Below are 20,600 nucleotides of genomic sequence, written 5' to 3' on the forward strand. Positions count from 1 at the left end.
TAAACGCTGTGTAAATCGTTGTTATACCGTATTTTTAAATTGTATTACTTTTTATGGTTGTACTTTTTTTTTTTTCAAATATTTCAACCTGCTGTTGGTTGAATCCATGAATTTGAAACCCACGGATATGGGGGGCCGACTGTACTGAGTAACTGTTACCTTCGATCATGGTTATTAATCCTCCATCTCTCTGAGAGAACCTCAAAATTGAGGTAGGGATCAATGAGAGAATAAGGGTGGGATCCTTTTATGGACTGGGAAGCACTAATGAATACGAGCTGTGATATCACGCAGGGTTCTGGAATCAGAAAGCACACCCAACCTTATCCCTGGCTGTGCCTGCCTACCCAGCCCAAGAGACCTGGGGCAAGTGTCTCCCCTCTTTAAAGTATGATCCCTTGCCTTAATAAGATGAGGAGGTGAGCAGAGGCTCTCAGCTGTCTTCTATATGCAGTAGTGTAGGATGAGAAAAAACATATCGAAGAATCTCAGGATCATTCAGGCCTTTAATAAGCAGCCTGCGTCCAGGTGTAAAGACAAACAGCCCCCTCTACTGGTCATAGGAAAACATAGGCTTTGCTGTGGCTCAGGGTCCACCATGAAGGCTTTATAGGCTGAACTGACCATCCTTGTGGGAACTCTTTCTGAAGTCCACGTCATGAATCCTATCTAATCTGAGCAGTAGGACATTACAACAAACACACAATAAAGAGCTGCCAAACCAGATAACATTGCAAATGACAAACAATTCATTTTTAATTAAATACTAACAAGGAAAAAAGGCACCATGGCCCATTCAAGTATTTTGCATAGATGTACAAATATTGTAAACAATTAATAGGTGGACAAGAGAGAAGAAGATCTGTTTTCCGTGAACAATCTCCCAAATAAAAAGAAAATTCACATTGCCCTGGATCCCAGACACATACAAACGCACAGTGGACGGTGTGAGAGGACGCGTTGGGGGTGACTTTGGAAATGTGGGCTTGGATTCTACAGAACCTCTCCTTCGCAGGCTCCCCTGGGGAAGGGGACCTTTCCAGTTGGCGTTCCCATGGCTTTCTTGGGTGTCCAGCAGAGCTGTTATACACGTGGTTAACACAATTACTGACTTTGGAACTGGTCCCCAGTTTTCAAATTGCAAGTCTTCCATACCCTCTGTCAAATAAGAATAAATTAGGAAGTAGGCAGGGAGAGACTTCCAATAAAGATTGGAAAGGCGTATTGCAGGAGGTGGGGAGGGGCTATTGCTTCAGGGGGAAGGGACTATGGCAATACAAAAAAACACTCCAACCAGAAAATCAGCAAGTCTCAGACCTTAAGATCTGCAAGTGTCTCAGAGCTGGGGCAGAAAAAGGCTTTACTTTTATAGGGAGAAGTCAGCAAGGCTGAAAGGAATCTATGGCTAGCAGGCAGTTACAAGATTGAGCCAGGTGCCCAGGCTAAGGCTTCTAGAGACAGGGAGACAGGGCACTAAATCCCTTGAGGTTTGTTTTAGAGATGGCTCCAAGGCCCTTAAAAAAAAATTCTTGGGTTGTAAAATTGGCAGGAGGTTAATTTCACTTTTAAAAAGATTTACCTACATCCCCATCTGCACAAAGAGCTTGCTAACTCACTAACCCAAACTTGAGTTAAGCTTCCCTCCTCCCCACCAGACCCTGGACTTTGGGCCATCCTCAGCCTGAGCCAGCAAACAGCCCCTCCCCTGGAGACAAAAAAAAAAAAAAAAAAAAAAAGGCTGGGCACAACGTCATTCCCTGAACGTGGTTCTTTCTAGCCATGTTTACTTCTTCCAATAAAAGAAAAGTCCTTTTCTGCCTGGGCTTTGAGACGCTTGCAGATCTTGCCATCGGTCGGTCTGAGCCTTTTCACTATTCCCATAAGGCCCCTTCCTCTCCCTTTTGCAATATTCCCTTTCCCCTTCTGCAATCGTGCTTTGGAATAAGGTCTCTCCTTCCCTAAGCCCAGATTTATTTGTATTTGACACCTCAAAACAGCATACTGGGCACTGGAAAGAAAAGGGGATGCATAATGGCCAGTCTTCCTCCTGGGCAGCCTCCCTGAACAGAGCCAGGAGTGAAGCATTAGTAGAACTGGTTGCCGAAAGTCTATCAAATTCCAAAACATTCCACCATCTTCCAGTTCACAGTACAACTTTATGGGATGGAGGTGATATGAAAATAATAAAACAAAACAAAACAAAAAGCAAGAAAACGACAACCCAGGTCTCTTTCTGGTGTGGTTCCAGGGAGGGTGGACTGCAGGTTCAGATGGCTCATGCAGTCACTATGGCTGTGGCGCTGTCATTTCAGAGCTATCTACCTCCTGATGTGAGGGAGAAAGGCTGGAGAAGCCACAGGAAGCTCTGTGAGGCATGGGGTTGGGTTTTGAGGATGTTGCTTGTTTGTTTTGCAGAGGGGTGAAAGGGGATGTTTTCACCTTTACTTTCCAGGAACCAAGCCTTGAGGCAGAGGGTAGCACATTTAAATAAAAGGTTGGGCCACAGGAAAGGTGGGGAATGGATCTCCACAGCAAGGATGACCCACAGCAAGGATGACCCACGGCAAGGACATGGGGAACCTGTATCACAGCCACCCTGAGGGAAGAGAAACTCATTTTCCTGAGATCTTTCTAAACCCAACCCAGGCTTTTCCCCCAGGGGTACATCCCGTATTTTCCACTTATTTCCAAACCCAAGAACATCCAAGAAGCACCTATTGTGTGCAGAGAACTATAAGGAGGCCCTGGGGTGGTGAATCAGAAGCTCAGCCTCAGCCTTGCAGTGAGGTTTTCAAGAGCAAACAATTGCTCATGGCAGGATGGGAGGAGGCCCCAGGAAAGCCTCAGAGGAGTGAGAGTCAGGCCAGCTCCTGTCCGGAGAGCCACCCAGCACCTTTGTGGAGTGGGAGTCTATCTCCCAGCAAACATCTCCAGGTGCTTTGCAAAAACCGTCCTATCTAGCAAAGCACCACACGGCCCTCCTTCCCTGCTGCAGGGAAGACAGGAGCCACCGCAGACCCCCTCACCTGCTCAGAGCTCTCTTTCTGTGAGGGTCAGGTAAGGGCAGTGACCAGAGAGAGAACAAAAGGAAGTGAATGACAAAAAGCTGGGTTGAGGAAGAGGCTCCCTGCTCTGACTGTTCCAGTGCAGCTGCTGCTGGCTGCCTTCTCCAGTGATCTCGGGCAGCTCCCAGAAATGGGTCTGTTCTCTGCTCAGAGGGCAACGGTCCAGCCCGAAGTCAATGACCAGCCTGCTCCCTCGTGTGTACTTTGTAAATAGCTGGGCTCCCTAAGGGGAAACCTCACCTAGATTTAGCTTAGAGTAAGGAGGAAGACCCCCACCCTGCTGAGGTCACAAAACACAATGAAAAATAAACATATGACCCCAATGGCCATGCCCCAAGTCTACTCTGGTCACACTCCTGAGAGCCAGTGAGGGAAATCCAGTGGCCGACTGTGAGAGAGGACTCTGACTTGTAGGTCACAAGCACCTGGTCACCCGAAGGTCAGGACTGCTGAGGGTTTGCTCACCAAAGCACCACACATTAGAGGGAGAATGAGAGGGGAAGGAAGAGAGAAAAGCGTGGGGCACCAGGAAAGTGCGGCAGAGAAAACAAAGAGCAACTAAAAATTATCCAGAGTCAGGAGTCGCAACCTTTGGCATCACGGCTCAGAGGAAGCCCAAGCCCGGTGCTCCTCCTGCTGTCTACACTGCCTACGAATAGTACCTGTCTGAGTCAGAGTGACCCGTGTGAATACAGGGATGCAGGGGTTTGGGGAGAGGTGGGAGGGGACGTGGCTTGTCACATGCAGCCATACAGCCAGAAGCCGTTCCCTCAACCAAGCCCTGGGCAGGGCCACAGCAGTGGCTGGCTTGACCCTTCCTTAATCCCTAAAAGCTAAAAGGGGTGGGTAAGTACCAGCCTCCATCCAGCCCGGGACCTCTGAGGAGAGCAGAAGCAATGGGAAGCTCTCTTGCGTGCCCTGCACCCCAGGAGTGAATGGATGGCTTCTGCAAGCGAAGTGCTGGCCTGAGGGGCTTGCTGGCCTTGAGCATCTCCATCAGCACCTCGGGGCTAGGAGTCTGGAGGAGAAGCTGCCAGTCACCCTCCTCATACTCTCCCCTCCCTACCTGGGGCTGTATATTGCACAAAACAACACCTAGAGGCCATCAGATCATAGTCCCTCTGGGCTTCCAAGGAAGCCGAGGAGGCACTGAGTCAACAGGGAGATTTTTGGAGATGTGGAGGTTCCTGGAGGAGGGTGGGAGGAGCTCAGAGGCGGCCAGACATGCTTCTTCAGGGTTCCATGGCCATGGGTCCTCTGCAGTGTCCAGAGAGCTCAAGGAAAGGGAGAAGCCCCTTGGACAGGTCTAGATTTTCGAGCTAATCATCCCTCCAGCCCTCTGTGATCTGTATTCTGGAAACTGGGAAGAAAAAGAAGGGAGGGAGAGAGACATCAGCTTGATGCTGATCAATGGGATCAAGGGGGCAGCCATCCTCCCGATTTTAGAAGGAAGGATGGACCACCCACTGAGAACAAAGGCTTCTTGTGAAGTCCATCCATGTGTCCACTCACCCAGACCATCAGCCCTGCAGGAAGGGGTGTGGTAGGTGCCCCTATCTCAAGCTGACCAGCCACCCCTCCCTCTTCCCTTCCCTGCTAAGGCAGCAGCACAGTCCATAGTTTTCTCAATGCCTCGTGGGAATACAGCATGGTCAGCCAGCTTCTTCACCTCATCCCTTTCTGACCTGACTGCCAAGACTGGCAAACTGAGACTGTCAGCCACACAGAAGAAGTACGAGGAGGGGCCAAGTGTACACAGCCTCCCGCAGGCCAGGTGGCTTCTACTAATGCACTTCCTTGCTCTTCACAACAACCTGATGGGGCTGGTACTACTGCTCATCATAGCCTCTGTACAAATGAGGAAACAGACTCAAGAGGGACTTGCTCAGGGTCCCTCCCCAGGTCAGGTGCAGGGGCAGGACTGAAGCCACCACAGCTCAGGATTCTAAGAATCACCTTTCACATGAAGCCAAAACTCCACAGTCAAGCGGGCACCAAGAAACATGAATGTTTTGCCCTTGGCTTTTGTTCTGGAAGTTCAGTCCAGACCACAAGAAGCATGAATTGCTTTGTTTTCTCAACTCTACACCTGCCCCCCTGGAGCCCTCTGGTACCAGCTTTCACCTTGAGGGCTTCCCGTGGACTCACCTTTGGGGCAAGTGCTGCCAGAGGCCGGGACTGCTGAGGGCCAGCACCAGGGGGCCGCAGTGGGGATGCACCTCCTGGCCTGGGGAGGCTCCTGCGGCCTGGCACTGGGTTTGCCGGGAGTGCCTTCTGGGGCGGCCGAGGCCTGGAGAAGTCCTGGAGAGAAAGCAATAAGCCTCACTTGAAGGCCAGAGGCCTGTTTGAAAGAAAATATCCCTGATATCTTACAGGTTAAAATCAGATAGATAAAAGTTATATACTGTATGGTCCCATTTAGAAAGAAACTGTATGTATAATGTGTTTATATTCTCAAGAGGAAGTCAGGAGAGCAAGCTGGCAGTATCTATTAAAATTACAAATAACCAGTGAAGATGATCTTTTTTTCATATGTTTGTTGGCTGCATAAATGTCTTCTTTTGAGAAGTGTCTGTTCATATCTTTCACCCACTTTTTGATAGGGTTGTTTGATTTTTTCTTGTAAATCTGTTTAAGTTCTTTGTAGATTGGGGATATTAGCCCTCTGTCAGATGGATAGATTGCAAAAATCTTCTCCCATTCTGTAGGTTGCCTGTTCACTCTGATGATAGTTTCTTTTGCTGTGCAGAAGCTCTTTAGTTCAATCAGATCCCATTTGTCAATTTTGGCTTTTGTTGCCATTGCTTTTGGTGTTTTAGTCATGAAGTCTTTGCCCATGCCTATGTCCTGAATGGTATTGCCTAGGTTTTCTTCTAGGGTTTTTATGGTTTTAGGTCTTAGTTTAAGTCTTTAATCCATCTTGAGTTAATTTTTGTATAAGGTGTAAGGAAGGGATCCAGTTTCAGCTTTCTGCATATGGCTAGACAGTTTTCCCAGCACCATTATTAAATAGGGAGGATCTAGAACTAGAAATACCATTTGACCCAGCAATCCCACTACTGGATATATACCCAAAGGATTATAAATCATTCTACTATAAAGACACATGTACACGTATGTTTATTGTGGCACTATTCACAACAGCAAAGACTTGGAACCAACCCAAATGCCCATCAATGATAGACTGAATCAAGAAAATGTGGCACATATACACCATGGAATACTATGCAGCCATAAAAAAGGATGAGTTCATGTCCTTTGCAGGGACATGGATGACGCTGGAAACTATCATTCTCAGCAAAATAACACAAGAACAGAAAACCAAACACCACATGTTCTCACTCATAAGTGGGAGATGAACATGAAATGAGAACACATGGACACAGGGAGGGGAACATTACATACTGGGGCCTGTTGGGTGGTGGGGGGCTAGGGGAGGGATAGCATTAGGAGAAATGCCTAATGTAGATGACGGGTTGATGGGTGCAGTAAACCACCATGGCATGTGTATACCTATGTAACAAATCTGCACATTCTGCACATGTACCCCAGAACTTAAAGTATAATAAAAAAAATTACAAATAACTGTTCTCTGATCTAGTAATTCTACTTCTTCTGACCTATGTTAGAGAACTATTTGCACACGTGCACAAAAATGAAACTGCAAGGTTGTTCCTTGCAGCACTGTTTGTAACAGCAAAGAAACTATAAATAAGCAAAATTTCATCAGCAGAAAAATAACTAAAATTATAAAGTGACAGATGATATAGCACTTAAAAAGAATGAAGTAGGTTGATAGGGGCTGGCGTGGGGAGATGTTCAAGAGTTGTTAGGTGGAACAAACAAGCTGTAGAGGATAGTTGACATAAAATAAGTCAGCACGCTCACCGCCTAATAGAAATGTCTGTAACAGAAAAAAGGAAGGATACAGACCAAAGAGATTACACTGGGATGGGGTGCAAAAGGGGAGGGGTGTGTTCCAGGTGAACATTCCATTTTTTTTTTTTTTGAGATGGAGTCTTGCTCTGTCCCCCAGGCTGGAGTGTAATGGCATGATCTCGGCTTACTGCAACCTCTGCCTCCGGAGTTCAAACGATTCTCTTGCCTCAGCCTCCTGAGTAGTTGGGATTACAGGCACCCACCACCATGCCCAGCTAATTTTTGTATTTTTAGTAGAGACGGGGTTTCGCCATGTTGGTCAGGCCAATCTCGAACTCTGACCTCAGGTGATCTGCCTGCCTTGGCCTCCCAAAGTGCTGGGATTACACGTGTGAGCCACCACGCCCAGCCCTTGAACATTCCTTTTTTTTTTTTTTTAACAAGAGCATGTACGTGTATTGCCTGTTAAGATTAAAACAAAATTTAAACAAAGCAGCAGCTATATTTTGTTCATGTTGGTTGTCCATGTGTGTGGCACATTTCATGGATTCTGTCCTTCCTGTGTTACTATTACCTTCATGTTCTCACCATCTCCACAAGGCTTTGCCCTGACTACCTTATTTAAAATTACAACAGCCCCCACCCTGACATTCCCTGACCTTTTTATCCTAATATACCTCTTCTTTTCTTTTCATATCACTTACTGCCTTACAACATATATAATTTATTTACTTATCCAGTTGATTTTTACTTTGTGTCTCTCCATTCCCCTCTAGAGTGGAAGCAGTGTGGGGTCCGTATCTGTTTGGTTCACTGATACATCTTTGGCTTCCAGAACAGTGCCTAGTATACAGTAGGTGCTCAACACGTATTAGTTGATCCATTGTTTTTTAAGGGGCAAAGAATGACTGTCCCACCCGCAGGCCCCCAAGCTGTTGGGGTTTAAGGGGAAGCCAACTGCATAGAAGGGAGTTCCAGTGCCTGCTCCCCTTGACTTCCTTCCCTTCTCGAGAGGGTCACTACCACGTATTAAAGTGGACAAAAGGCAAGCACATAGAGAGGGCAGGAATAACACAAAGAGCCGAGATTTTCCCCAAGAAGCTTCATGGAATCAGAAACTAAAGCAAATTCTTAAGGCCAAAAAGCCATGTTCTTCAGCTCTATCTAGAAGGACAATACAACCCGCCCCCTTCACCACCACCTTCCCCAGCTCAGAATAGCTGCCAAGTTGCAATGGTTGCTGGAAGCCAGGATAGAGACCTTCTGGGGCAGGTGACAGCTGGGTGCAGATGTCAGGTTGCAACTGGGAAAGGCTGTGCTCCCAAGGGAGCTGTGCAAATGAGCCACTGAGGGGCTGGAGTTTGGGCAGGAGCCTCATCAGCATGTCAGCACTGGGCCTCCCAGGGCAACCAGCCACAGGCCACATCTGCGATGATCCAACTCAGCCCTACCAGGGCCCTCGCCCAGCACTGTTTTCCTTTTTCTAGAGCAGAAACAGTCCCTCAGCTACTCTGGCCCATGCTCCCTTCCACAAGGGATGGCATCTTACTCAATCAGATTGCACAAGCCTGACACGGGGCGTCATCCCCTGCCAAGCAATGGATCTTCAACTCGTTATCTATTTTCTCTTCTGCACATTTCTCATCAGCTTCACTTCATCAGCCCTGCCTACTCCCTGCTCCAAGCTTTTACCATCTTTCTTCAGGACAACCTTTAAATCTTCTAACTAGGACACCCATTTGCTTCTAGAGTGACTTTCATTTTTTAAAACTATTTTAAAAATTCAAATATAATACACACAGAAAAAGGCGAACAAATCATAAATATACAACTAGATGAATTATCACAACGTGAATACACTAAGTAATCCCCATGCAGGTCAAACAGTAGATTAACAGCTTCAGAAGCATCTATGGGCCCCTTGCAGGAACTACACCTCTCTCCTGCCTAAAGATATCCCAAAGAGTGATCAATCCTTGTCAACAGAAAATTGCATCATGTCACCACTGTCCTCTTCCTATGGAATACAGACCAAAGTCCTGACCAAGGCTATGTGGCCTGGGCATAGACGGGCTCCTCCTGGCTTTCCAGCCTCATCTCATAGCTCCTTGGGACCCAAGCACACAAACCTTTAAGTTCCTTCAATCCACAGGGCCCTCTCCCATGACAGAGCCTCCCTACTAGTGGGTCCTGGGACCAGGAAAGCTCCTTCATCACTTGCCCTCACAGCCTGGTTAAGTCCTGTTCCTCCTTCATGTCTCAGCTCAAATGTCACCACCTCAGGGAAACCTTCCTGGATTTCCCAGATTAGGTCAAATCCTCGTTACTCTCTTCTGAGCACCCTGAGCCTCTCCTTCACAGCACATATCACTGTTGCAGTGACACATATCCCAGAGTCACTGCCCCAGCAGAATGTGAGCTCCTGGAGGCAAAGCTGCCATCTGCCTTCCTCGTCATTGCCTGGCCCAGAGTGCAGGTGCATAAGCCGGTTTAGAATAGCAGAACTGAAGAAGTGATGAGGTTTCATCTATCACTTCTCCAGGGGGTCCATGTCCCCCAGCTAGGAGGTGGGGAATCTTTGATGGCAGACTGGAGACTGTGAGTGGCCCCAGGGCAGGAGGCTGTCTCACTCAGCTGGATGAGACCTGGGTTCAAGTCCTAGCTCCTCCACTCACAACTGTGCAATGTCGGGCAAGTCCCTTCAATCCTATGAGGCCTGGCAACCTCCAAGAGAAATGAGGGCTGCAGCAACTCCCTTCTTGGAATGGCTGTGAGGAGGCAGGTGGCAGCCCAATGTCATCACAGCAGCCCCCACTCAGAGCAGCTGCCTCCCACTGTTCGCTTGTAGAGAGACACCCACCTGGGACCCGGGGCCCAGGAGAAGCTGTGCTTGGGGGCTGTGTTTTGGGGTGCCTGCCACTGGCTGGGCAGCTTCCTGCACCCGGGACTCCTGCCAGCAGTCCCAGGGGTGCAGGTGCAGGGTATGCACAGCCTCCACCACTTAACAGACAGCTGGGTCCCCGCTGTCCCTGACACTTCCTGACCTACGGCTCAGCACCTAGGGGTGACAGGGGTGAGGCTGGCCCCGTGTTCTCTGAACATGCCTCTAGTGTGGGTTTTTCAGAACAACAGTCTGAGTGGACTGCTCGCCCGACCCACTCCCTCCTCCCTCTGCTGGCACTCCTGTTCTCCTGTAACCCCAAGTCTCTACACGCCTGCTTTCTCCCTTTCTTTCATCTCTCTGTTAGGGACTGAACTGTGCACTCATCATTTAAAAAAAAAAAATCATATGCTGAAGCCCTAACCCTGAGTACCTCAGAATGTGACCATATTTAGAGATAAGGTCTTTAAAGAGGTGATTAGGATAGAATGAGGCCACCTAATCCAATCTGGTGTCCTCATAAGAAGAGGAGAGTTGGACAGGCAGACACCAGGGAGGCAGAAGTGCATAGGAAAGGCCTCGTGAGAACACAGCAAGAGGGCGGCCACCTGCAAGCCACAGAGAGAGGCTTCAGAAATCAACCCTTCCAGCACCTTGACCTTGGACTCTTAGCCTCTAGAACTGTGAGAAAATAAGTGTCTGTTTTGAAGCCACCCAGTGTGCAGTACTCTGCTATAGCACCCTCAGCACACGAGTACACTCTCCACCTCTCTCTCTCCACTCCTCCCCTCTCTTGCTTTTTTCCTTTCCTCTTTCCTTCTCTCTCCCTGTCAATCTTTCCTCTCTTTCTGCATGGATTTTTCCATCCTACCTCTGCCCCACATAAAAGGAAGGGGAGAGCAGCAGTTTCACAGCAGAGAAACAGAATGGATGCCCTCAGCCTTCCCAAACTGTACCACTGCCACACATCCCAAGGACCCTCCAAAGCCTGCAGCCAACCCCAGAGTCCTTAGGGTCAGAGACAGCTTGGGTTCCATGGAGCCCTCTGGATTACACCCAGAGAAAGCAGTCTCAGTTGAGGGGTCACACCCAAAACACACAGGCCAGTTCCAGAAGGCACCCCACCCGGCCGCCACCCAGGAAACACCTGTGTCTGCACTGGGGGATCTCCTGCAGAAGGTGTGGTCAGAGCCATCAGAGCACACACACGCAGTGGGAACAGGCTGCTGGGCAGGCTATGCCTCCAAGAGCACCAGGGCTGGTGGGGGAGAGTCTAGACCCCACTCTCACCTCCCAGAGGCACCTGCCCCTTGGGATGGGCAAGGCATCAGGATACATCCCTAAGACTTTCCAATCAGTAGAAGGTACCAATAGGTACAATTTGGTAGGAAGAGTACTATGATGAGAGAAGTACAGTCCCATCAACCTCAGAATTGAGGAATCAGGATAGACTTCCTGGGAGAAGCGGCATCTAGGAGCAGATCTGAGGATGAGCAGGAGGTGGCCCCACCAAGGAGAGAAGGAGCGTATCAGGCAGAACAAGCAGCATTTACAAAGACCTAGCAGGCAGACGAGCATGGGGGAACTGACAGAAGTTAATATGGGGTGGAAGGTGGGTAGTGGCTTGTCATAAAATAGGCCAACCCGGGAGAAAATGCCACATGGTTTAGGAGCTTCTTAGAGAGTCTATTTCCCCACGTTCGTTGCTCTAACCTGCTGTGCGCCCCCGTATTGACTGAATTGCAGAAAAGGCAGTCAGCTCATGACCCCACAAGTTTCACCTTCCCCACCTTTGCCATTACCCATTGAAAGTGGCCTTAAAAGCAATGTTCCCAGCCCAAGGTTGCTGATTATCCACTTACCTGGGAAACGATGCAATTTGGTGCGGGGGGAATTGGCCGGCTTGGAGGAGGCCTCCTGGACGACTCCGTCCTCTCTATTTGAGACCCGGGCCCTGGGGAGTTCCTAGCAGCCCTGCTCAGGTGAGCTGGCAGTGGTGCAGGTGGGGACCCACCACGCAGATAATCTGGAGGGGGCCGGGGAGGAGGCTGGGAGGGCTTCCGCAGGATTTCCGGAGTGTTGATCACCTGTACGCACAAGTCAAGGAACACCTGAGACAAGAAATCACTCAGGGCTGGCCTTGTGTGTCTCTTTGAGATAAACCAGAGCCCAAAGGGAGAACAGACACACCAATCTATTAAACCCCTGAGGATCCCAGAAGTCAGATGCAACCTTTAAAGTCATTAGGGGATGTCAGAACCAAATAACATGTCTCTCCAGCCAATAAAAGGGCTTTTATTACCAATCCCATGGGCCCACAGAGGCTCTTAGAAAAACACAGCATGGCGGCCGGGCATGGTGGCTCATGCCTGTAATCCCAGCATTTTGGGAGGCCGAGGCGGGTGGATCACGAGGTCAGGAGATGGAGACCATCCTGGCTAACACGGTGAAACCCCGTCTCTATTAAAAATACAAAAATTAGCCAGGCATGGTGGTGGGCACCTGTAGTCCCAGCTAATTGGGAGGCTGAGGCAGGAGAATGGCGTGAACCCTGGAGGCGGAGCTTGCAGTGAGCTGAGATGGCGCCACTGTACTCCAGCCTGGGCGACAGGGCAAGACTCCATCTCAAAAAGAAAAATACAGCATGGCCCTGAGGGATAAAGGAAAAGTAGCAAAGTTCAGTGGTGCAAAGCTCTTACCTTTCGCTTGCCCTGGGGCGTCTGCAGCTTGAAAGTTGGGTTGGCATGACCAGTCCCGCTGTTCTGAGAAACCCTGAAGGGACAACTAGAAACAAGAAATGGGGGAGGAAAAGAAAGGGGACGATGTTCAGCAGGGGACAGTGCCTGAGTTCCCTTTGACCCAAGCACGGCCAGCAAGCAGCTAAATCTTTCCCAAGTCTGCTCTGGAGGGAGTGGGATTGGTCTTCTCGAACCACATCTTCCTAAGTAGAAAAACGTGTGGCCAATGGAGAACTCTCAAGGAAACAGAGTTGGCCTTATACAAAGCAGAGCTCTCTCAGCACCTTCTCTTCACCCTTTTAAGACCCTTCCCCTGTGAGGAGACACAAGGGTGTCACGAGCCATCAACCAATCCCCATCAGGCATAGATCCAGAAAGACCTGGGACTTAAAATCCCCTCCAGAACAAGTGTTATTTAATAGGTGACTCAGAGACTGTACATCTTCCATATCCAAAATAATACATCACTTTTCAAATGGGACACCAAAAGCGAGCAGGAGTAGCTATTCTTATACCAGATGAAACAAACTTTAAAGCAACAGTGGTTAAAAAGACAAAGAGGGGGCTGGGCATGGTGGCTCATGCTTGTAATCCCAGCATTTTGGGAGGCCAAAGCGGGCAGATCACCTGAGGTCAAGAGTTCGAGACCAGCCTGGTCAACATGGTGAAACCCCGTCTCTACTAAAAATACAAAAAATTAGCTGGGTATGGTGGCATGCACCTGTAGCCCCAGCTACTCAGGACGCTGAGGCAGGAGAATCGCTTGAACTCAGGAGGCGGAGGCTGCAGTGAGCCAAGATTGCACCACTGCATTCCAGCCTGGGCAACAAGAGTGAAACTCCATCTCAAAAATAAATAAAATAAAATGGGGAATAAATCAACTAGACAAAGGATGGCAAATAGATTTTATTTTATATTTCAACTTGATTTGGTTGGGGATATTCTGCTGAGAAGAACTCAGGAGTGATGACCAGAATCAGTAGAGTACTTACAATAAGATCAACTAGTAATGCCTGTCACAGTCATAGCAGGGGAGAGGGCAGCATGTATCTTGCACTTGTCTTCCCTGAATTAGACCCACTATCACCAACACTTTTGCTAAGTACCATTTATGGAGACCTTTGTGACCCATAAATTGACCCTGAGTCCTCCATTGAACCCTGTCATACCTGAACTGTTGCCTCAGCTTGGAAGGGAGAGCTGAGGGCTTGAGTTGGCCTAGTTTGTTGTTCTGTCTGCAGCAGTAGTACATCAGCATGAGGACCGCCAGCACCAAGATGGCCACCAACACTCCAGCTACCACAGGACCCACACCTTCCAGAAACAGAACCCAAGTGGGAGATTTAGAAGCTGTCTCGGCTACAGCAGATTTCAAAATAGGTATTCGTGCTTCTTCTTCAGGCATTTGATTTGCATTTAATTTGTATTACTTATTTTAACTTACAAATTATAATTAAAAACACACATTATGGGCCGGGCACAGTGGCTCATGCCTGTAATCCCAGCACTTTGGGAGGCCGCGGTCAGCAGATCACAAGGTAAAGAGATCAAGACCATCCTGACCAACATGGTGAAACCTCGTCTCTACTAAAAACACAAAAATTAGCTAGGTGTGGTGGCACATGCCTGTAGTCTCAGCTACTCAGGAGGCTGAGGCAGGAGAATCACTTGAACCCGGGAGGCGGAGGTTGCAGTAAGTCGAGATCACACCACTGCACTCCAGCCTGGGTGACAGAGCAAGACTCCGTCTCAAAAAAAAAAAAAAAACAAAGAAACGAAAAGACTCAGACAGATTTAAGACTAGACATCTCACCCATAATCCATAACTTAACATTTGGTTTCATCAAAACTACCCCAATATTCTCTCAAGTGGTTAATGTAAATATAGAGAACGTATTTGTACTAACAAAACACTACTTTTTATCAGTTTTACATATTGGGGTTTCTTCCTTGAAAGATTTTGGTGCTTTTTTTTTAAAGTTATTTGCTATTTTTTTTAAAAAAAAAACTTTAGAAATCATAGTGCTAGAATCCTTGAGAGATCCACTAAAATACTATAAAATTTTCTGAGTGTCTGGTTCTCCATTTTAACTTGTGTCCATCAGAGGAAATCTAAACCACCATAATGTGTCCCAGGTTCATGATTATTTTTAAGTGCCCAAAGAGAAATAGTCACCGTGTCCCCTAAAAAGAATGGGAACATTCAATGACCTACAGTCTCTCTTACTCTCACTCTACTAAGCGGGCTCCCCCTCCTCAGTAGAAAGGATGGGAGAAGAGAGACTGAACCGTGTCCCCACACCACACTATGAGCAGTCGCTCCTCTCTCTTGGTCTGTCTTTATCCTGATTTCCTCTCTACAAAATCAGGACAATGAAGCTGATTCAATGTGGATGCTCTGCAACATGCCACCTGCCCCTGATGCCCGCTCTTCTCACAAAAGCGGGCAGTGGCCCCAGCAGGCTGGCACTCACTCTCAGGGGGCATAGGCCCACTGTCGATACTGCCCCCGTGGCCCGGTGTGTTGCAGAAGGGCGGGGCCCAGCCCGGCAGGCAGTGGCAGTTCTGGTTGTTGTTACAGACCTGGAGCAAAGAAAGGGCAGAGGCATCAGCACCCCAGAGAGCATCAGCCACCCACAGGGCCTGCCCTCATGACGTCCCCATGACACAGAGAAGCCAGAACCCAGCACGCACCCCATGGCCATTGCACTTCTTCCCACAGCCTTCAGTTTCAAAGAAGGAGGTGTTCCTGCACTGCCCCTCAAAGCAAATCTGCACGGAGAGAAAACAGAACGATCAGTGCAATGGGAGGGATGCTGGTTGGGAGTTAGGAGGCAAGATTTTGCACTTGGAACATATGAGGACCCATGGCCCGGCCTGGTGGCTCACGCCTGTAATCCCAGCACTTTGGGAGGCTGAGGTGGGCGGATCACCAGAGGTCAGGAGTTCAAGACCAGCCTGGCCAACATGGTGAAACTCCATCTCTACGAAAAATACAAAAATTAGCTGGGCCTGGTGGCCTGTGTCTGTAATCCCAGCTACTCGGGAAGCTGAGGCAGGAGAATTGCTTGAGCCTGGGAGACAGAGGTTGCAGTGAGCCGAGATTGTACCACTGCATTCCAGCCTGGGTGACAGAGCAAGACTCCATCTTAAAAGAAAAAAAGTATGAGGGCCCAAATAGGCAGCACACTTCAGGTTACTATCAAAGTGAAAAATGGAAAACAGCCCACAACGCTAAGGACAGGACAACAGCCAACTAAATTCTGCTATTACTTTTGTGATTAGGGAGAAAACGACAAATATATTGTTAAAGTATCATATTTAACAATACAATATTATTTATGTGTTATCACATTAAAGGACTATTATGTTGATTATGTTAATTACTTGTCATTAATATGTATCAATTTTAACATTATATTTAAAAATAATGATGGTGACAGTACTCTGTGCCAGGTGCTATGCTAAATGCTTCATGTTTTCCATAGTTTCATTATCAGAATCGACTCTGGAGGATAGAGTCTGTGCTATTATTTTGCTCAGGCTTCCCTAACTCCTAGTCCATTTTTAATTCCTATGATAATTAGCGATGAGGATGAAAGTGGCACTAGCTAGGCCACCTAAGTGCTTTACTGGGATGATTTTCTTTAATCCTTCCGACAGTTCTCTGGGGTGGGTGCCTGCTGTCACTATACACGCTTCATGAAGGGAGCCACCAAGGCTCAGAGGTTGGCGAGGTGGCATCTGAGCCCAGGCATCCTTCCCTCAGACCTCACTTCTCAATCACTCTGCTCTGCAGCTGGCTCCTAGGTGAGCAGGGGAGGGGACTCACATGGTTGTAGCCACACTTGGTTCCAGTCATCACCAGCCCTGGGTCCAGCATGTCACCCTCCTCCTCAGGACCTCGGTAGACGTGGGTGCCCCGGCACTGGATCTGCCTCCCATTCATGATGATAGTGGTGTCAATGGGCACCGCGTTGGACTCCAGGGGCCGGGCCTCAGAGCTCTGACACTGGATCTTCCCACACTTCGCATCTCTGGGCACAAGAGACAGAGAGGGAAGGAAGCGGAATCAGAGGCAGAGGAAGAGCTGGGGCACCAGAGAGCTTCAGTCTTTCTTGATCAAGACAGCAGGCTTGCGTGGGGTGGGGCAAAGGTTTAGGGCAGTCATGTGCTTTGGAACCCACCAGGAGAGATTCCATGTGGACTGACACCAAGGGAAGAGAACAGGCTCCTTGACCCTGAGCAAATCTAGACCAGAGAACTGGCCTCGAAAAGTCCTTAACTCCAAGAATAGCCACCTGAGCTGAGCAATCTTTCCCTTTTTGCCCCTTATACCGCTGTCCACCCAGGAGTTCCAGCTAGAAATCTGGGGTCATCTCCAACTCCCCATTCTCCCTCACTCCTGGGCTCAAGCCATTTTCAAACCCTATCAATCTTCCCTCCTTAATTATCTATCTTATTATCTATCTACCTTAATTCACACTGCCCCACCCCCCTTACCTGGTCTGCAGAAGATTGATTTCCCTGCCTCCAGTCTGCCTCATAGGAGTCTAATTTTCACACTGCTCTCAAGCTAAAATCTAAACTCCCCTAGCCATGCATTTGAGGCTTTTCATGATCTGGTCCATGCTAAACTATCCAGGCTAATTTCTCAGCAGACCTTCTCCTTTGCACCCCAACATTATACTTTAACTGTATCAAACTGTTCTCAGTTCTTTCAACCACCAGTTTTTCTCTATTCATCTCTCTTCCTGGATTACTCTCCTATGCACCAGCACCACCTTCCACCCTGTTCACCGAGGTAACTGCTCCAGATCTCAGTGTAGGTATAACTTCCTTTGGGAAACCACTCTGACACACTAAGATGGGTTGGATGGCTCTCTCCACATTGCCATTGTCATACTATATTGTTAATTAGAAGTTCCATGCACTCAGCACAATATCTTGCACATGGTAAATCTTCAATAGATAGTAGATAGACAGTAAATCTTCAATAGATAGTAGATGGATAGATGGACGGACAGATGGATGGATGGATGGATGGATGAGTGGGTGAGTGGGTGGTGGAGGATGGATAGATGGATGGATCAGTGGGTGAGTGGGTGGTAGATGGATGGATAGATGGATGGATGGATGGATGGATGGATGGGTAGACAGATGAGTGGATGGTTGGTTGGAATGAATGATGAATAAATGAATGAATGAGTGAATTAATGAATGAGGAGCTATTCAAATTAGGGCATGATTAGAATTTGGCAGAAATGACCCAAAAGGGCTGATTCCCTGCCCTACTGTAAGATGGTCCCCAAAGGAAGCCCGATCAGCTTTCTAGGAAGCACTGCCACCCACACCCTCCTCTGACTTCCTCAGAGCTGAAAAGTGCATTGTCAAACAGGGGGCCGAGAATAGATGACTGACTTCAACTGATTGACGTAAAGGTGCAGCTCTGGGGCCAGTCACACTGCTGAGTTGGGCAACAGTGAGGACAGAGCAGAAACTGCTTGTTCATCCTCATTTCATGAGGCCTGCCCTTTGGTCATCACCTCATGTTGCACTTCCTGTGTTCACCATTCATGTCCTTTCCACAGTTTCCAAAGGTGTCTCCTGCCACATTCACCTTCTCGAAGCAGAGGTCAGGGGCAGGTCGGGCTCCTGGGTGGGCAAGCAACATCTATCAGTATACTCATCTGTCAGAAGCCCCCAAGGGCAAAGGTATCTTTGGTAAAGTCATGAAGGTAAGAATATTTTCTGGGAGGGAATACTCAGCCTCTTCTTCCTGTTCCCTCCAGGTTACTCCATCCCCATATTCTCAACAAGATCTACTCAGAGAATAATGTTTTATATAAATCCTTTTTTTTTTCTTTCAGATGGATTCTCGCTCTGTCACCCAAGCTGTAATACAGTGGCACAATCACGGCTCATTGCATCCTCCGCCTCTTGGGTTCAAGCAATTCTCTACCTCAGCCTCCCGAGTAGCTGGGATGACAAGCACCCACCACCATGACTGGCTAATTTTTGTATTTATTTATTTATTTTTTTTGTAGAAATGGGGTTTCACCATCTTGGCCAGGCTGGTCTTGAAGTCCTGACCTCATGATCCCCCCGCCTCGGCCTCCCAAAGTGCTGGGATTACAGGCGTGAGCCACCACACCTGGCCTGTTTTATGTAAATTCTTCCTACCTTATTGAGGATTTATATTTGTGTGTGGGGAGGGTTGCATGCTAAGCCTGCTCTCTAATGAAGAAGCCATGTTCCGATTCAAGATTTTAAAAAATAGGTCATACATGCATAATATTTTAAAGATATAAGTATGTCTTGGAAAATTTTTCTTGTAGTCATCCAGTTCCTACTTCTCTACATCCTGGAGGAATAGCACTTATTAACAGTATATTTTCTAAAGATACTTAAATCTCTAATTTCTGTATCTCCTAGGTATAATTCTGTGTGTATCTTCTAGAGATAATCTATCTAATAAAGAATGGAAGCATATTCTTTTTTTATTTTTTTTGAGACAGAGTCTTGCTCTGTCACCCAGGCTGGAATGCAGTGGCACAATCTCAGCTCACTGCAACCTCTGCCTCCCAGTTTCAAGAGATTCTCCTGTCTTAGCCTCTCGAGTAGCTGGAATTACAGGCGTCCACCACCACGCCTGGCTAATTTTTGTATTTTTAGCAGTTACAGGGTTTCACCATGTTGGCCAGGCTGGTCTTGAACTCCTGACCTCAGGTGATCCACCTGCCTTGGCCTCCCAAAGTACTGGGATTACAGGCGTGAGCCACTGTGCCCAGTCTTTTTTTTTTTTTTTTTTTTTTTTTTTGAGATGGTACATCCCTCTGTCGCTTGGGCTGGAGTCCTAGAGTGGAGTGGCTCACTGCAGCCTCAAACTCCTGGGCTCAAGCCATCCCCCCACCTCAGCCTCCTGAGTAGCTAGGATTACAGGTGCAAGCCACCATATCAGCCACCTGAGTAGCTAGGATTACAGGTGCAAGCCACCAAATCTGGCTTGAAAGCATATTTTATTTGCTGTTCTACACCTTGCATTTTTCACTTAATTTTTTGTGGAAGATGATTTTATTCAGTAAATATAGGGCTGCCTCCTTATTTAGCCATAAAGCATTGCATTATATGAATGTACCAGAATTAATTTAATTGGTCCCTACTGAAGGACACATAGGTTGTTGTTGCTATGGCTAACAATGGTGCAGTAAACATCATAGTAAATATATCCTCACATACATGTGCAAGTGTTAGCTGCATTTCTAAGTATATCTCCAAATTGCTTTCCATAGTGGTTATATCTACCTGTTTCTTCACACCCTCCACAACACTATATCATTATTATTGTTGTTATATTATTATTATCTTAACTTTCAGTCTTTGCAATCTGATATATGAAAAATCTCACCTCATCATAATTATACTTTGCTTTCCCTTAATATGACTGAGATTAAACGTCTTTTCATAGCTTAAGGGCCATTTGCATTTGCTTCTCTGTCTCCATCCTCTGCTCATTTTTCTTTTGGATTACTCTTATTCAATTGTCCACTCTGAGAAATAAAAGCATCAAGGGACTGGGAAGGAACACTGTCCTCTGGTTCTCCCTGAACATCTACCCTGAGTCAAGGGGATGAAAGAGGTAGTATCTAGAGGTGCCATTTGAAGCCAAGATTCCAAACTACCCTGAGGGCCAGGGGAGGCTGGCTGGGAAGTGGTGGGCTGGGGAGAGCCGTGCTCCCCAGGAGAGCCTTACCGGGTCCCCACAGCTGCTGGCACTGCTCCTGGTAGGTGAGGCACATGCCGTTGTAGCAGTAGGCCTGGCCGCCCTCACAGGGGGTACCATCCATCTGGTAGAAGTTGGTAGGGCAGTGGGGAGACTTGCCCGTACAGAACTCCGGGAGGTCACACTGCCTGGCCTGCTCGCGGCACAGGGTCCCAGGAGCCAACAGCTGAGCCAAGGAATGAGAGGAAAACACAGTCAATCTCCTCCCCACCCTCAACCCTGTTGCCCAAGGGCTCATAAGGATCACTCTCATA

General features: G+C 47.9%; 1 protein-coding gene across 3 annotated transcripts in view, besides 4 other annotated features; it reads right to left on the bottom strand.

Annotated features, from left to right (window-relative positions):
- Positions 727–20,600, bottom strand: part of ADAM19 (ADAM metallopeptidase domain 19) — a 98,472-nt gene continuing 78,598 nt past the window's right edge. For 2 of the 3 annotated variants that reach the window (NM_033274.5, XM_047417859.1), the window contains 10 exons: positions 20,317–20,512; positions 18,110–18,218; positions 16,396–16,600; positions 15,258–15,335; positions 15,038–15,146; positions 13,733–13,877; positions 12,525–12,609; positions 11,688–11,912; positions 5,214–5,366; positions 727–4,425 (listed from right to left, as the gene is read on the bottom strand). In NM_033274.5, the coding sequence (NP_150377.1) occupies positions 4,372–4,425; positions 5,214–5,366; positions 11,688–11,912; positions 12,525–12,609; positions 13,733–13,877; positions 15,038–15,146; positions 15,258–15,335; positions 16,396–16,600; positions 18,110–18,218; positions 20,317–20,512 (1,359 nt within the window). In that variant the 3' untranslated portion in view covers positions 727–4,371. Of the gene's footprint in view, positions 4,426–4,448; positions 5,367–11,687; positions 11,913–12,524; positions 12,610–13,732; positions 13,878–15,037; positions 15,147–15,257; positions 15,336–16,395; positions 16,601–18,109; positions 18,219–20,316; positions 20,513–20,600 lie in introns of those variants that run through there. The other variant, XM_047417858.1, reaches the window with a different exon arrangement.
- Positions 2,350–2,860: an enhancer, noted in NCBI's record as "H3K27ac-H3K4me1 hESC enhancer chr5:156905935-156906445 (GRCh37/hg19 assembly coordinates)". NCBI's record gives its function as "activates a minimal SCP1, AML or CMV promoter by ChIP-STARR-seq in primed H9 embryonic stem cells {active_cell/tissue: H9 hESC(primed)}" and the evidence as "EXISTENCE:reporter gene assay evidence [ECO:0000049][PMID:30033119]".
- Positions 9,884–10,384: an enhancer, noted in NCBI's record as "H3K4me1 hESC enhancer chr5:156913469-156913969 (GRCh37/hg19 assembly coordinates)". NCBI's record gives its function as "activates a minimal SCP1, AML or CMV promoter by ChIP-STARR-seq in primed H9 embryonic stem cells {active_cell/tissue: H9 hESC(primed)}" and the evidence as "EXISTENCE:reporter gene assay evidence [ECO:0000049][PMID:30033119]".
- Positions 10,052–10,141: a silencer, noted in NCBI's record as "silent region_16560". NCBI's record gives its function as "represses an Ori minimal core promoter by ATAC-STARR-seq in GM12878 lymphoblastoid cells {active_cell/tissue: GM12878}" and the evidence as "EXISTENCE:reporter gene assay evidence [ECO:0000049][PMID:35858748]".
- Positions 19,918–20,419: an enhancer, noted in NCBI's record as "H3K27ac hESC enhancer chr5:156923503-156924004 (GRCh37/hg19 assembly coordinates)". NCBI's record gives its function as "activates a minimal SCP1, AML or CMV promoter by ChIP-STARR-seq in naive H9 embryonic stem cells {active_cell/tissue: H9 hESC(naive)}" and the evidence as "EXISTENCE:reporter gene assay evidence [ECO:0000049][PMID:30033119]".

This window comes from Homo sapiens, chromosome 5, assembly GCF_000001405.40.
Source record: "Homo sapiens chromosome 5, GRCh38.p14 Primary Assembly".
NCBI lineage: Eukaryota > Metazoa > Chordata > Mammalia > Primates > Hominidae > Homo > Homo sapiens.